Source organism: Homo sapiens, chromosome 4, assembly GCF_000001405.40.
Source record: "Homo sapiens chromosome 4, GRCh38.p14 Primary Assembly".
NCBI classification, from domain to species: domain Eukaryota; kingdom Metazoa; phylum Chordata; class Mammalia; order Primates; family Hominidae; genus Homo; species Homo sapiens.
Window position 1 is genome coordinate 74,925,272 of NC_000004.12, and position 16,601 is coordinate 74,941,872.

At 41.6% G+C, this 16,601-nt stretch overlaps 1 protein-coding gene across 2 annotated transcripts in view, besides 3 other annotated features; it reads left to right on the plus strand.

Moving 5' to 3' along the window:
- Positions 7,679–7,988: a silencer, noted in NCBI's record as "silent region_15479". NCBI's record gives its function as "represses an Ori minimal core promoter by ATAC-STARR-seq in GM12878 lymphoblastoid cells {active_cell/tissue: GM12878}" and the evidence as "EXISTENCE:reporter gene assay evidence [ECO:0000049][PMID:35858748]".
- The window catches only part of PARM1 (prostate androgen-regulated mucin-like protein 1), a 116,998-nt gene continuing 108,241 nt past the window's right edge, over positions 7,845–16,601 (plus strand). Inside the window, exons 1-2 of one of the 2 annotated variants that reach the window (XM_011531833.1) lie at positions 7,845–8,099; positions 15,123–15,227. In XM_011531833.1, coding sequence (XP_011530135.1) covers positions 8,057–8,099; positions 15,123–15,227 — 148 coding nt within the window. In that variant the 5' untranslated portion in view covers positions 7,845–8,056. The remainder of the gene's footprint in view (positions 8,100–15,122; positions 15,228–16,601) is intronic. The other variant, NM_015393.4, reaches the window with a different exon arrangement.
- Positions 8,569–8,618: a silencer, noted in NCBI's record as "silent region_15480". NCBI's record gives its function as "represses an Ori minimal core promoter by ATAC-STARR-seq in GM12878 lymphoblastoid cells {active_cell/tissue: GM12878}" and the evidence as "EXISTENCE:reporter gene assay evidence [ECO:0000049][PMID:35858748]".
- Positions 8,729–8,778: an enhancer, noted in NCBI's record as "active region_21615". NCBI's record gives its function as "activates an Ori minimal core promoter by ATAC-STARR-seq in GM12878 lymphoblastoid cells {active_cell/tissue: GM12878}" and the evidence as "EXISTENCE:reporter gene assay evidence [ECO:0000049][PMID:35858748]".

The following is a 16,601-nucleotide window of genomic DNA, read 5'->3' on the forward strand; positions in this document are numbered from 1 at the left end:
ACTGTCCATTATGATTGCTACTAGCCACGTTTGGCTTTTGAACATTCGAAATTGAGATGAATTCATGTCAGAACTGTGATTTCCTACAAGTATAAAATATACACTAGAATTTGAAGATTTTGAATTTTTTTAATGTAAAATATCTCAATTTTTTATATTTATTACCTGTCAAAATAATATTTTAGATACATTAAAGCATATTATTAAAATTAATATAACTTAGTTTTACTTTTTTAAAATGTGTCTACTAGAAATTTTTAAATTTCTATATGGCTTGTAATTTATTTCTATTGGATAGTACTGGATCAACTCAATTAAGTTTTACACTAGTTTAAATAGAAGATTTCATTATGTGCGTCACATCCAAGAAGGAGTTTCTTCCTTCCCGAAATATTGTCAGGGCTGTAAACCAAAAGGTATTTGAGACAAGTCTTCATCAGTTTAGAAGTTTATTTTGCCAAGGTTAGGGACATGTCCATGACACAGCCTCAGGAGATCCTGAGAGCATGTGCCCAAAGTAGTTCAGGACACGACTTGGTTTCATATGTTTTAGGGAGACAGAAGACATCAGTCAATACATGTAAGACGTACATTGTTTTGGTCCGGAAAAGCAGGACAACTCAAACTAGGAGCTTCCAGGTCATAGGTGAATTCAAAGATTTTCCAACTGGCAATTGGTTGAAAGAGTTGATCCAAAGACCTGGAATCAATAGAAGGGAGTGTCTGGGTTAAGATAAGGGGTTGTGGAGACCAAGGTTCTTATTATGCAGATGAAGCCTCCATGTAGCAGGCTTCAGAGAAAATAGATTGTAAATGTTTTTATCAGACTTAATGAGTCTGTTTTGTCAGTCTTAAGGTCTCCATTTTAAAGTTAATGATGATCGTCTATGCCTGAATTCCAAAGGGAGGAGGATTAATGAGGCATATCTGACCTCCATTTCCCATCATGGCCTGAACTAGTTTTTCCAGTTAACTTTGGAATCCCCTTGGCCAAGAGGAAGGGTCAATTGGGTTGGTTGGGGAGCTTAGAATTTTATTTTTGGTTTAGAGGGCTTTATTCTTAATTAAAATAAAAATTACTGACACATGGTTTATTGTCCTCAAGTACCTCATGCAGCCTCAAACAATGTTATTTAAATCAGAGAAATTATCATGTTTCATCATACTCTTTTAAAATTGCCCCATTCAAGCAGATTTTCTTAACTGAGTTCCAAATTTACCCTTTTGCACATATTGCACTACTTCCTTTAATCTTTTTTGCCATTAAAATTAAAAATTGGAGTTAAGAAGAGAAAAGCAAAGTAATGGGGAGAAATGTGGCAGACTCAAAGAAAATATTTTGCAATGCCTCTTGGAGAGAGAGAAATAAAGCCAAGACAAAATATATCAGGGTCTTGAGGCTGCTGCATTTTTGCCTTTGGGAAGGAGGGTGAGGTAGGGAAGGGGCTGACAGAGATAGGTTAGAGCTTTCCACTGCAGCTCAGTTGTAGCAGGAGAGTGATTACTAAAGATAGAGCCCAAGACACATAGTTCTGTGTGTCAAGAAATACCCACAGCAGGTACTAATGTTTTCTTCTTGTATTTTATTTATTTTTTATTTTTTCTAAGACAAGAGTTTCGCTCTTATCGCCCAGGCTGGAGTGCAATGATGCGATCTCAGCTCACTACAACCTCTATCTCCTGGGTTCAAGCGAGTCTCCCACCTCAGTCTCCCAAGTACCTGAGATTACAGGCATGTGCCACCATGCCCAGCTAATTTTTGTATTTTTAGTAGAGATGGGGTTTCACCATGTTGGCCAGGCTGGTCTTGAACTCCCGACCTAAGGGGATCTGCCCACCTCAGCCTCCCAAAGTGCTGGAATTACAGGCATAAGCCACCATACCCAGCCATTTTCTCCTTGTATTTTAGAACACTTAATTTTTTAATGTACTCCAAAGCTTCTCCTCTAATAATGGCTGACATCTATTGGTACTTAGAACACACCTTGGCCAGGCGTGGTGGCTCACGCCTGTAATCCCAGCACTTTGGGAGGCCAAGGCAGGAGGATCTCGAGGTCAGGAGATCGAGACCATCCTGGCTAACGCGGTGAAACCCTGTCTCTACTAAAAATACAAAAAAATTAGCCGGGCGTGGTGGCGGGTGCCTGTAGTCCCAGCTACTCCGGAGGCTGAGGAAGGAGAATGGCATGAACCCGGGAGGCGGAGCTTGCAGTGAGCCGAGATCACGCCACTGCACTCCAGCCTGGGCAGCAGAGCAAGACTCCATCGGAAAAAAAAAAAAATAAGAACACACCAAGCCTCTCATATATATAATCCATTCAATCTTCCCTATAATGCCAGGAGGAAACTGTCCTATGCTTGTACCACTATTATATTTTGGAAGCACAAAACTTGTCTGATTTCACAGGTTCATAGCTAGAGAGGAATTTTGCCTCACAATGACCTCAAGTCTCACCCATATCTGATTTTTATCATATTTCAATGAGACTTTGGATTTTAGATGCTGGAATGGGTTAAGGCTTTGGAGGCTGTTGGGGTGGATGGAGTGAATGTATTTTGCATGTGACAGGACATGAATTTTGAGGGAGCCAAAGGGTGAAATGTTATGAACTGAATGTGTCCCCCAAAATTTACATGCTGAAGCCCTAACCCCCAATAGACTATAGTTGAAGATAGGGCTTTAAGTAAGTAATTAAGGTTAAATGAGGTTATATAGATGGGACTCTAATCCAACAGGACAGGTATCCTTATAAGAAGAGGAAGAGATACCAGGAGTGTGCACATACAGAGAAAAGGTCATATGAGAATATAGTGAGAAGACAGCCGCCTGCAAGACAAGGAGAGAGGTCTTACCAGAAACCAATACTGCCAGCACCTTTGAGACAGGAATAATACAGGGTGGTCACAGGAGAATAGAAAATTCCAGACAGCAGTTTTGCATGACTAGCAAAAGGAAACTGTTGAAATAGCTGCAGAAGCTAGGAACTGATAAGACCCTCAAAACCCAAGGTATGGACCCAGCTGGCTAAGACCAACTGGATCCAACATGGCACTGGATTTCACCTAGATTTCTCCTAGGACCTCGTTATATTATTGTTAACATTATCAATTACATACCCACCAGTGCCATGACAGTCCTGAGAACACCCATATTTGGTGTGAAAAAATAGGTGGCACCACAGTTCTGAGAAATCTCTAAATTTTTCCAGGAATTTTAATGAATATTCCACCCCTTGGTTAAAGAAGCCCATAAAGACAGAAACTCCAAACTCCATCAAACAACTCTGTCTTAAGTACCCCCACAATCCCCTTTCTTGAGTATATGCTTTTCACTTTGCAATAAATCTCCTACTGTCACTATTTTCTGACTCATTCTTGAATTCCTGCTTGCAATGGTGTCAAGAGCCTGAACACTGTTATCACCTTGGCCTTAGACATCCAGCTTCCATAACATGGAAAAAATACATTTATGTTGTTTAAACCACCTAGTTGGTGATGTTCTGTTATGGCAGCCCTAGCAGACTGATACAGAAACAAAGGAATAGAGGTGCCAAGTAATTAATTAGAATCACTCAGTTAGTAGATGGCAGAGGGGATTAGGACCCAACCTCTAACCACTGCAGCTCTCTCAGCCAAGTTATTCTCTCACTTAAGCCAAGAGTCCAGATGAAACCATCTCATGATATAAAGAATCCAGAAACAATACTTCTATATTACCTAAAATGTATTATCTAAAATTATAAAATATAATATATTCAGGATGTAAAAATCTATGTCAGCCAAGAGCAATTTTTTTGGTAAAATGTTAAAAGTCCACAACACTAAAAATTCATTTTAACAATGATCAAAAAAGAGTCAAAGTCAGTAAAAGGTAGATTTATGTGAGATTTTATCCCAGTGGAGTATTATAAAAGAACTAAGAATTCTACTAAAAAAAAAATGGCTTTTGCTGTAAGTCATAACTAAGGGTTACATGCAAATTCCATCCTTGACCCCACTGAGGAGTACTAGTTCCCCTGCTATTATATCTCATTGAATCCCTTAGTTTCCTTCAAAGTTTTATTCTGTATAAGTATTTCTCAGTTTCTTACTTTGTAACATTTGGATAATAATAGTATTTGGGGGGAGAAAAGATAATTTTTCTCTCTACCCCTTATGAGTTCTAAGCTGGGATCCCCTATAACAAAAGACAGATTAACAACAACAAAAACCCCACGAGGTTATTAACATGTATATTTCATATATATGTACAGGAGATAGTCAGGGAATTAGTAATTTTCAAAGAGGTGACTTTGAATTCAAACTTAAATATCATCTTCAGCTGAAACAAAGAAAGAGGAGTATGGGGGTAGGGGTGCAGTTATGAGGAAGTGACCAGGTAAAGCATGGCAAACAAAGGTAAAGTTTGTTATGCGTATTTAAGTCAGAGCCCTCTCCATTGATAAGAGTTTCCAGTAATTTAGTGCCATCCTTTTCTTCCTAGAATTCAGAGGAAGACATTTTTACAAATGAAAATTTCCTTTATAGATTTAAATTCACCCTACAAAAAGGTAATTCCACTCTGTTCTCAGAGTTGCTCCTATAGCTGCTGTTTCTCAAACAAATGCTTATACTGAAAAGGCATATTCTGAAGTGGCACATTCTGGTCTTCTACAGTATCTATCTCACAAAGTTAGAGTGTAGAAATGTAAACACATGACTGTACATAAAATGCTTGAAACAATTAATAAATTTTCATCATTATTATTATTGTAGCATTTAATATAATGTTATTGCATATGTCTTTGTGATTATTCATTCAATGTTTAACTCCCCACTACTAGAAAATAAGTTTCCTGGTGCAGGGACAATTAGCCCCTGTGGCACATATCACAATGTTCCCTGCTATAGAGTTCTCGTCTCTATCTGAGCACGCAAAAATAACATGCTTTCTTGCTTTCTTGAAGTTGGGCATGGCCATTGACTTGCCTTAGCCCATAAAATATGAACAGAATTGTCACTTTTAGGTGGAAGATTTAAATACTTAATTCTCCACTTCTCTCTTTCCCTAACTCAGTGGATGTGAAACTGTTAGAGGTGGATGTGAAACTGTTAGAGGTGGAAGTTATTTGAGTCACCGGCAGAGACTGCAGCAACCTCAATTCTTGCCTCGGAAGGAAGAATATAATTGAGGGGCATAAGGCAGAATAAGAGACTGAGGCAAGTTTCAGAGCAAGAGTGGAAGTTAATTAAAAAGCTTTAGAGCAGCAAGAAAGGAAAGCACAGTTGGAAGAGGCCTAAGAGGGCATCTTGGACGTCAAGTGCCCCATTTGACCTTGCACTTAGGGTTTTACATGCTGGTCTACTTCTGGCGTCTTGCATTGCTTTAATGCCCCCAGAAGGTCATATACCAGTTAAACTCCACCATTTTGCATCTTAATGCACATGCTTGAGTTCAGTCACCCACCTCCTGAGATCTTATTGGAAGCTGCTGATTACCAGTTTCATGTGTTCCCTATTTATGGGGAGATGGTCAGTCCCTCGTGCCAGCTGTAACCAATTATTATTTTAGAGAGACAGTTAATAACTGCCTGGCCATCACATGATGGTTACCTGACTTTCCTGGTGGGGTGTGGGGGGAGCCCTCTGCTGCCCCACTCATGCCTATCTAGCTACCTACTGTAACAAAAGCAGGTTTCGATATGGCGGTACAACACTGATCCTGAGGACAGCTACTCTGAGGAGTAACCTGGATCCATAGCAGACTTTGATGAGCAAAAAATAAACCATTATCGCTTAAGCTTGGGAGACTTTGGGCTGGTTTGTTACAGCAGCATAACCTACACTACCCTGGCTATTACAACCATTGTATTTCCATTGCCTAGCATAAGGGCTGGCGTAAAATAAGTGATTAAATATGCTCTGACTAAATTAATTAATAAATTAAAATTTTTAATCAGCAATTAAAATGAACTATTTTAATCAAAGAAATTATTTCAACTCTATCCTGCGTACAATAGAAAAGTTTTGGAAATTTTCACTGATTAGTGTGTAGGGGTCATGATTCTTTGAGTACCAAACCATTATCTTAGATATCAAGGTTAGAGTTGCACATGCTTCGCACTCCAGAAAGACTCCTTCAAGTTTTGCTGAATTTCAATTGAATAAATTTTTTCTGTGAAGTGGTCTTCAAAAACCTATATTTCTGCCATAGAGTCACTTACTTAACCTGCCCTATTTAAAGGGGCTAATGCCTGATAGAATGTCGCTGCATAACTCCATCTGTGTGTGGTCCCTGCATCCATGACAACCAAAACCCAGATGCAGAAATTGTTCCTAATCACATAGATTACCCTAGAAACCGGAAGGGCCTTGAAGTCAAAAGCATTCAGAGAACATGCTGAACAAATTGAATTTGCAGTTTATCTGGCCAGGGAGGATGGAGAGGGGATGGGCACTTGGTCTGAGTATTTTTTGTTTCTCATTCCAACAGAAATTACTAGATTTACCAAAACAAAGAGAAAAAAATATGATCCAAATTTAATCTGGTTGTGGAAGTGTGAGCAAAATCTACAAGTGGTAGTGTGATAGAGTCAGGCAGAGGAATTGACCATAGATAAGGTGCTCAGGACTCCTAGAGTCAGCTTCTGGTATGTGAGAAAGAAGTGAGAACAGAGCCCATGGCATATGAAGAAGATATTACAGAAAAAAGAAAGCTGCCTTCCACGCAAATCATTTCTTTACAAAGGCTTGTTAACTCCTGCAGTGCCCCAGCTCTAGTGACTAGGGGACCAATAGGTTCATTAATAACAGAATTGGGAGAGAACCTGGCATCTGCTTTGATCGAAGTGTGAGAATTAAGCAAGCCTAAAGTGTAGCAAGAGCAGGGAGGGAACTGAATGAAAGGTCAGTTCTAATCTGTAGGCTTTGGAGAAGCTTTGGGCTCTTGAGAGGGAGTAGAGTACAGAGGCTGAGCGGGGTGCCTGGGCAGGCATCTTATCATTACTTGCGAGTTGTGTGAACTCGGGCAAGTTAAACTTCTCTGTGCTTCTACTTTCTCCCCTGAAAACGAGGATATAATCTCCAAGGATTGTTGTGAGAACTAAATGACTTGGTTGATTCCTGAACAGCACGTTGTCCAGTGCCTAGCACATAGCAATCACTCAGGAAACGTCAGCCTTTATTATGGGCCTAGTGCACAAACTATTCTTACCAGTTATGCGACCTTGAGAACATTGTCTTCTCTGTGCCTTCATTTTCTCACCTGTAAAATGGAATAATAATAATTCTTAGAAGGATTCATGAAACAACGCCTAGTAGGGTGTCTGGCTTAGTTATCCCCCCGACAGTATTTTCTTCTAGTAAGAAGCTGAATGCAGCGGCAGACATCCTGGTTCGGGCCCCAGGAAGCTCAGCCGGGTTTAATGTGGATGAGGGTTTAATGATGTACACGCAGAAGTGTTTTGACAAATGAAGAAGGTCCTCATTCTTGGAACATGTGCCGGTTCTCCGAGGGAACTCCTAAAATGGCATAAGGTCACCTTTTTAAAGGCTGTAAGCTCATGTAGGAAAAGCTGAGCTAGATTCCTAAGGGCAGAGATGTGCTCACATTTCTTTGCATCCCTAGTTCCCAGCACAGTGCAAGGCGCTGCAAACATTTGCTGAACCCAGGGTCTCGTGTCTTGACTGTCCAGCAGAGGCCGCTCTGGGCCGGGGCTCTCGGGACCTGAGGGCTGAGAGAAGGAAGGCCAGGGGGTGGCCCAGTCATCGCCGCGGGGCCCGGGTGGGAGGGGTTTGGCAGCGGCAGGCGCGGCGGCGGCGGCGGAGGCGGAGGCGGCCCCGGGCTCGGGCGGCTGGGATGGAGCAGAAGAGCGCGGAGCACCGGAGGGCACGCAGCTGACGGAGCTGCGCTGCGTTCGCCTCGTTTGCCTCGCGCCCTCCACTGGAGCTGTTCGCGCCTCCCGGCTCCCACCGCAGCCCACCCGGCAGAGGAGTCGCTACCAGCGCCCAGTGCGCTCTGTCAGTCCGCAAACTCCTTGCCGCCCGCCCCGGGCTGGGCACCAAATACCAGGCTACCATGGTCTACAAGACTCTCTTCGCTCTTTGCATCTTAACTGCAGGTAATTGGCGCCATCCTCCCGGAAGGGCAGGTCGCGGGGTGGGCCCCAGTAGCTAGCGCGTGGTCGGGGCTGAAGCTAGGAGATCCGGCAGTGAGTCGCCGCGCGCCTCCGGGTGAGTGCGCAGGTGTGTGCGCACTTAGATTTGGGGTGACGTGCACCTTTGGCGGTCCCGAACCGTACTGAGGGAGGGGACGATGGGGTCCTTCCTGCCGCAGCCCGCGCCCGCACAAACTCCAGCTTTGTAGAACAGGTGGCTGTCTTAGCTGCGTGTTCGAACCCAGAGTGGGCAACACGGACTGCGCCTCAAGGCTTCTCTTTCTTCACCAGGGTTTCGGAGCGCACTCTGCCAAAGTACGGGACCAGACTTCTTGTTGCCGTTGGGCCCTGGAAGGGATGAAAAAGCCGGGGAAGTGGGGGTGGGAGGTTCGCATCTGGGAAGGCTTCAGCAGCGGCTGCGCGCCTGGCGGGGCTGGTTTGCTTTCTCGAGTCTTGGCGGTCTCTGATCTCCGGCGTCCCTTCCTAGTTATGCTTAGGATGATGTGGCACTAACAGCAGCGGCCCGGCCTTGGTCAGGCTCGCAATCGTCACTGGGGGTAGCAAGGCTACCTTCTGCCCCAGAACTCCCCAAAAACGTATCCCATAGAAGAAACTATTAACTTGGCTAAACTAGCATCCTCTCCCCTCCCCCTGCACCACCTCTGAAAGGCTTCGTAGGAGCCACTCTCGGGTTTCGGGACCACAGACGGCGACGACCTCTGGCAGCGGGGATGGGGAAGAGGGGAGCCAGATGACTGAGCTCGGCTTGGCGGGGACCGGGGAGAGATTCAGAAAGACGCTTTGAATCTAGAGTTCAGGTACCTATTTTTTCCAGAAAACGTCTCCCGAAAAGGGACAACTGGCTGTGGATATGGTGCTGCTGGGAAAAGTAGCCCGACTGCGCGGCCACTGGCATTTTCAGTTTAAATGTGACCCAAAGTCACATAGCGCAAACCGATTCTACTCGTGCTTTAGTCTGTATATCCTCCCTCTGAGTTCGTCGGGTTCCTACAGTTGTGGACACGAGTCGTCGCAATCCCTTGAAAAGAAGCTAGCGGTTTTCAGGCAGCTCACAGTGGGTAATGCAGTTATAAGGAAAAGTTTCCCAACTTGAAACTATAGCGTATTTTCTCTACTTAGTGAACGTCCGTCTGAGAAAACCTCTTTCTCGCTGGTATCTCGGCACGGTTTGGAGACGCGTCCGCGGACAGTTCCCGAATACTCGCAGGCGGCTTTGGCTGCCCAGCCTCGGGCTGAGATGAGAGAGCCTAGGTCCGGCAGGTGCAATAGGCAGCGGAGCTCCCGGCTGGCTGCGGGTGGTAATTCCTGTAATCCTCAAAGCAGGAGATGCTTACGTAATGACACGGAAGGTACCTTTACTTCTCCTCACTCAAAAATCTTTTCTTGAGGTTCAGAAACCCTTGAGTGAGTCAGTAGAGAGGTTCGTTTGCAAATTTGATTTAGTGGCTTGTCTTGTTTATTTAATCATTTCCTTTTTTAAACAGCTCTGGCAGTTGTCAAAACCGGGATTAACCCTAACAAACAGTGTATTGTAGCTTCCCCACCCCCACCCCAAGAAGCTCTTTTTTCTTTTTTTTTTTTTTCTTTTTTCTTTTATTCAGCGTTACAGTTTAGCTCCGCTATTCCGGGAGGAATATCACCCTTGACCCACCGCTAGAGCGAGGAGACTGGTGGGCCAGGGACCGGCTGAGCACCACTCCTACCCCCACGCACTAATTAGGATCAGAGCCCAGATGGTCACAGCCTTCCAGCTGTGAGGCTCGAGACTCAGGAAGACATACTGCCTCATTTCCCTAGTTATGCTTCGATATGCATATCCCAAGCTGAAAATGATGAAGCTAATGGACACTGCATTCCCCCTGAAGTTTGTGCCTTTGAAGGAATCTCTTTAAGACGTCAGTTTGTTGTTAGAGCTACTTTGCAATAAATCGTCCGAAAAAATAATATAAAAATTGGCATAAATACCTCATGAGATTCTTTGCACCTTAATTTTAAGGTGTTTTCAGAATGTAAAATATCATTTTTAAAGAAAAAAATAGACGTGTTGGTAAAGAAGAAAGGGATGAGGGCTCTTGAAGTGAAAGTGCACACACATGTGTTTTGGGGGCTTATCCCAGAACTCCCCTAGCAAATCTCTAGTTAGTTTCACCAGGCCTTGTGTCTTTTCTGTTTCCTTCTCATTTTCCTCCTCTAGCCATAGGCTTCAACAATATTTCTGTAAAATTCTTAAGGTGATACTTTCTTGAGCCAGGAACAGCATTAGGCAGGGGCCTGTTTTTTGGCTCAACAAATCCTCTCAAAGTATACATAGTATTTCCTCCAGCACATACAATGGACACTTGCAAATATGTGTGCGTTGTCAACAAGCCAACAAGGGTAGATCTCTACATGTATTCACTCGGGTATATATAAATATATTTATATATTTTTAGACAAAGGGTCTAGCTCTGTCACCTAGACTGGAGTGCAATGGCGCGATTCCAGTTCCACTGCAACCTCGGCCTCCCCATCCTCTCATCTCAACCTCCTGAGTAGCTGGGACTACAGGTTCACACCACCATAGGCAGCTAAATTTTTTTATTTTTTGTAGATATGGGGGGTATTCCTATGCTGCCCAGGTTGGTCTTGAACTCCTGAACGTAAGTGATCCTCCCACCTTGGTCATCCAAAGTACTGGGATGACAGATGTGAGCCACTGTGCCCAGCCTCACTTCTATTTCTAAAAGGAGAGAGAAATCTTAGATGGTCTTCAGTTCTCTCAAGGTTGATTATGGTAGAAAACTAGATGTCTATTCTATAAACCATTTTCAAACACTTCTTATGCCAGGATAAGGCATATTGGAGTACTGATTCCAGATTAAAATACAAACCAGAGCCTCCAACCTTTATCCCCAAAACCAAGAAGGGAACGAGAATGGCAGGCCCCTGGTAGCTTCCACATTTATCCCTCTCCTGCTCCCCTCGGGATTCTCTTCCTTTGTTCTTGCCACCATGGTTGTTACATTCAAGTGTTTTTTTTTTGTTTGTTTTTTTGTTTTTTTTTTGAGATGGAGTCTCTCTCTGTCTCCCAGGCTGGAGTGCAGTGGCGCGATCTCAGCTCACTGCAAGCTCCGCCTCCCGGGTTCACGCCATTCTCCTGCCTCAGCCTCCCGAGTAACTGGGACTACAGGCGCCCGCCACCACACCCGTCTAATTTTTTTTGTATTTTTAGTAGAGACGGGGTTTCACCGTGTTAGCTAGGATGGTCTCGATCTCCTGACCTCGTGATCCACCAGCCTCGGACTCCCAAAGTGCTAGGATTACAGGTGTGAGCCACCGCGCCCGGGCACGTTCAAGTTTTTTATGGCCCTATTTATTTAAAAACTCCCTCAGTGAAGTATGAGATATGTTAGAACTTTCAAAGGCATTTTCTGAATACTCAAGAAGGACAAAAAGGAAGGACACTAGGTAAGAGAGGCACAAACCTCATGGTCCTATTTCTACCGCCCTGGGTCTGCTCTGTTTGCCCCTGTCTCCTCTCAGGACCTTCCACCCATTACCCAGGCACCCTGCGCAGACGTATTGGTCCCTTGGTGATTAAGATGTAGATCACCAGAGAGCTAGATTCCCAGTCTGCCACTCAGCTAGGGATCCTATTTGTGTTCTGGATCTGGTAGATACCTCTTCTCCAGGTAACTAACATCTAAAATGTCCTTATCCTTGAAGGAAGACTTACTTCACCCTGCACATTTATGACTCTGTACTTGATATATGTCAGCTTAGTAGCCTTATCACACATATATTAAAATACACAAAATTGTGCACACACGTAAAGGAACAGGAAGGCTGATCATGATTTGTTGGGGGTGGTTGTGAAGAGTCACTTGCATTCCTTAGCCTGAGAAACTCCTATTCCCCTGAAATCTGTGGTCACAGTCAAAGATGTGACATTTCCTTCACATGAAAACTGACCTGAGAAGGTGGATGAACACTCTCTGTTGTTATCTGATGCATTTACAGAGGCAGTGTTTCAAGATGTTAAGTGCGTAGATTCTGCAGCTAGATTGCCTAGGTAAAAATCTAAGTTTTACTACTTACTAATTATGTGATTGAGGACAAGTACATTAACCACTCTGCATTTTTTTATCTACAAAATTTGGAGAATAAAAAATTGGAGTTATTGAAAGTGTTCAATACCTGAATATACCTATAGGTATACAGTGCTGGAGACATAGCAAATGCTCAATAAGTGTTAGCTGTTGTTGTTGCTATTATTTTTATTAATGAAGTGTACTATATGCTGCACTAATTAGGTCATCCTCTCCAAAAGCAGAGTTTATGTGTTTGTACTTGAACTATGTAAATCAAAGATCTCAACTAATATTCCAGTGCAGTGCCAGCTGTTCCAGCAAACCAATGTGCAAATGAAGAAAATATTCTGAGCCTACTAAATGCCTAATTTGAAAAGGTTAATAATGTGCCAACTCAGATTTAGTGCAAGAGTCCAAAAAATGCTCAGTAACAAATAGATGTAAAGTCTCACCAAGGACTTTATTTCTTCCATAGAAACTTTTGCAAACTGGTGTGTTTCAAAAACTCAACTCAGCTAAACCTTAAAGGTCAGGTCCCCAGAGCTACAAACTTGAGATAATTCAGATTAATAACTTAGGAAAAAACAGGTCATTTTGTCTGAATGCTCCAAAACAATAGCAATAATCAATAATTGCCGTATCTCTAATTTAACTTCAGCATTTGACCCCAGTCAAATTGTGCTTGTGTTTTCATGAGAAAAATATTGGTCAAATATTATACTGTTTAAGCAGACTTTCTTAAGCAATAATTTACCCTAAGGGGATTATAACACCCCACCGGAAGCAATGGACAGCAACATTTTTTAAGTGTTTTCAAAATGAATTTGACTGTCTTAAATCTAAATGAAGGAATCCTGCAATAACAGTTACAACAGTTTGCTTCCATTTGGAAGTATCTATCACTAAAATTGGGCACATTAGTTTATAAATCAAACTTATTTGTCTTGTTCATAAGATATCAAATGAAGCAGTTTCTTGGAAAAATTGATGTTTTATGTACAAGACAGTGGTAATTCTGAGAAGAGGTGGGTAGATAGTGAATGTCTGCTTTATCCAATGTTTGCTTTTTGCCTAGAAATACAGAGCTAATAGGTTGTCATCTAGTTAATCTGCAAGCCGGGCAACTATTCAGTAAGATTGATTTGTGTATATAGTTCATGACATTTCTTTTTTTAGTTACAGCTTAAATTATTTAAATGATAGGGTTGATGTAACATTGTATTTTCTGATGTGTGAATCTTTAAATGTTCATCATAATCCTTTACACCAGCATGGCCAATTTCTTTCACTTGTTTTAACATGGCTTATAGATGTTGGGAACTTTGCCATTGTGTAAGTAATAGAAGTCTTTAAAATGAAATAGACAATTATAGAATTTGTCTCATCTGTGCTTTTCATTGGTGCAGGATGGTATAATGTCAATTGAAAATAGTCTTAATTTTCCTTTGGCTAGTATTGCCAAATTTAGCAAATAAAAACAAAGGTTGTCCAGTCAAATTTGAATGTAAAATAAACAGTGAATTCTAAGTACATTCTATGCAATATTTGGGACTTACTTAGACCAAATCTTTCTTTGTTGTTTATCTTAAATTCAGATTCAACTGGTTGTCTTGTTTTTTAACTGCCAACCATACTTTTGGCCTTTCATCTGCAGTTCATTTATACAGTGACTTTGATACAGGATTAGCTTTATTTTGAAGCCTGCCTCATGGGGCTTTAGTTACCCTGCACCATTTCATTAGAAATAATCTGTTCATGGGAAAACATGGAGATTTAAGAGCAGCTCTCTGGGTTAGCAACTATAGGGATTAGGATTTAGAGGCAGCATTCATGCCAATGAGATATTTTGATTCTGATTATATATCCATTAACTGTGTATTCCTGAACATTGATGGGATTTCTATAGCCTCCCTAAATGACTTTAACCCCCTTTGACTCTTCCTTTATATAAAAAAGTATATTTTTAATGGTAGCAATGATCTTGCTATAGGGGCTGGGACTCGAAGCCTTCTGTACTCTTTTTTTTTAAAAGAAAGTTATGATTAAAACTGAAAGCTTTGAATTTCAGTGCTGTCTTTTGTGCCGGGATCTTGAGAAATCTCACAAATATTAATTATATAAGGTTTGCATAATCCCTGCTGGATAAGTCTATTGGTATTACTTGGAAGCTGTGGCTATATAGAGCCTTAAGCAACATATTATATAGAATTTTAAGACAGATGTTTAAAAAAATCCTTTGATCAATTGAACTGTGGTGGATATTTGTACCTTTTATACCTAAGGCAAAAAATCTGTGAATACCTTATTGTTAAGTGGAAAAAATATTAAGATAAATTACCAGGTGTGATATTTAGAAAACATGTCTATTCAATACAAAATAAGGTGAGTGGTGGAATACACCTTTGATGATAACATCTTCCACTTACATTCCAAATTCCAACATTTGATTTTCTTTTCAATGAACAAGGAAATAAGGACCTGGGAACTTTAGTGCAGGTGTTAAACATGAAAGGAATTAGATGAGAGAGGGTTTTGTTTATCTGTGTGTTTTTTTTGTTTTGTTTTGTTTTGGCCATGGTTTTAAACTTGGAGCTACCATTCAGACTTCCTAGAGGTTAGAACACCTTATATTTCCTAATACGAAGTTAACAAAATACATGTTACCTTTTATGTTGTGATATTTTTACCAGGGGTAGTACACAAGCGTAACTTCATTACTTACAGAGTTTATTCACCCACTATTGTATCCATAATGGATAGTTATTGGTCCTCTATCCTTTATGACATGGTTTTAGTTTTGTAGGAAAAGCTTTTGTGATCTGTCTTAGTTCATCCAGGCTGCTATAACAAAACACCATAAACAGGGTGGCTTATAAACAATATTTATTTCTTACAGTTCTAGAGATTGGGAAGTCCAAGATCAGGGCATCTGCAGGTTCTGCGTCTGGAGGGGGCTGTCTTTCTGGTTCACTAGCTGTGTCTTCCTCATGTGGTGGAAGGGGTAAGGCAGCCCTCTGGGGCCTCTTTTATAAGACACTATCCTCATGATCTAACCACTTCCTAAAGACCCCACCTCCTAATACCATCTTTACCTTGGAGATTAGGATTTCAACATATGAATTTTTTTCAGAATGCAAATATTGAAACCATAGCACAATCCCACAGATAGACAGGAGATAGATACCTCAACTAACTGGTGTTGACCATTATTTGATTGGTCCATACTGTAGGACCACTCCATACTATAGGACTCTTGCTTTGTACTGTAATTGGACTCTTCAGGAAGAACAGTAACAATTATTTTAAAGATTAAAGGGTGTCTGTTTATTTAGTATGTTAGTTACAATGCACTGTCTGTATGTATTTAGGGCGATGTTTAAGATCCCAGTCATTCTATTGAGTTAATGTAATGTGTCTTATTAGGAGAGGATTTCAGTATATCTCAGAATTACAACATGAGGTGACCTCACTGCCACTTGTTCACCAGAGGGTCCTAAAGAAAATCTGGTGGATTGAAGATGTCTTTCTTGGCCTTGAAAAGAGGCAAGTTATTGGTAGATCACACACTCTACTTATCATGGGAATTCTTGCTATTAATGAACATTGCCGACTGAAAGGCAACATCAAGACATATACTTTTACCACATTCAACTAGTGGGGAACCCTGGATGTTTTATCTTAAAAATTACAATGTTGATGGAAATGACATTCAGGAGGAGAGCCCAGATAGTCTCCTTTTTGGAGACCTATTCAGATAGGTCAGAGCACAAGAAAAAATATTCATCATTTACATGCTAGGAAATGTTGCTGGGGGCAGGAAGTGTGATATCAAATTACGTGCAGAAATGTGGTAAGAAATGCACAGTAGGCAGGGACAGTGGCTGTTTCAGAATTTCTGCAAAAATTACGGAGGAGAAGCTGGGGGCATAAAGTTTCATGAGTCCAAGAAAACATCAAATGGCTGAATCAGGGGAGCAGGAGGAGGATTAAAATTATTTTGGAGTACTAAGGCTCAAACCAACGCTAGATGCTACTGCTAGATATGAAAAATTCATTTGATTTCATTTTTAGAGCAATAAGGGATACCTCTTCAAATTTATATGAATATAGTATTTGTTTTAGTGTGCCTCCTTAGTTCTGTGGAAAGTTACAAAGTGAGCCTTTCAGATGAAATGATGTGTTAGACTTTATGGTGGGTAATTAAGGTAACCTCGGCATCATGAAAGGGGGTGAAGAATAAGAAAATGCCCTGTGATGTAAAGATGAAAGCAGCTACATGGTTTGGCTCAGTTAAGGAGGGCAAAGTGGTCTGGGGTTGCTTACTTCCAGGCAGCCTTCCTAGAACTGCTCTTCAAAAACAATCTGATTATGAGAA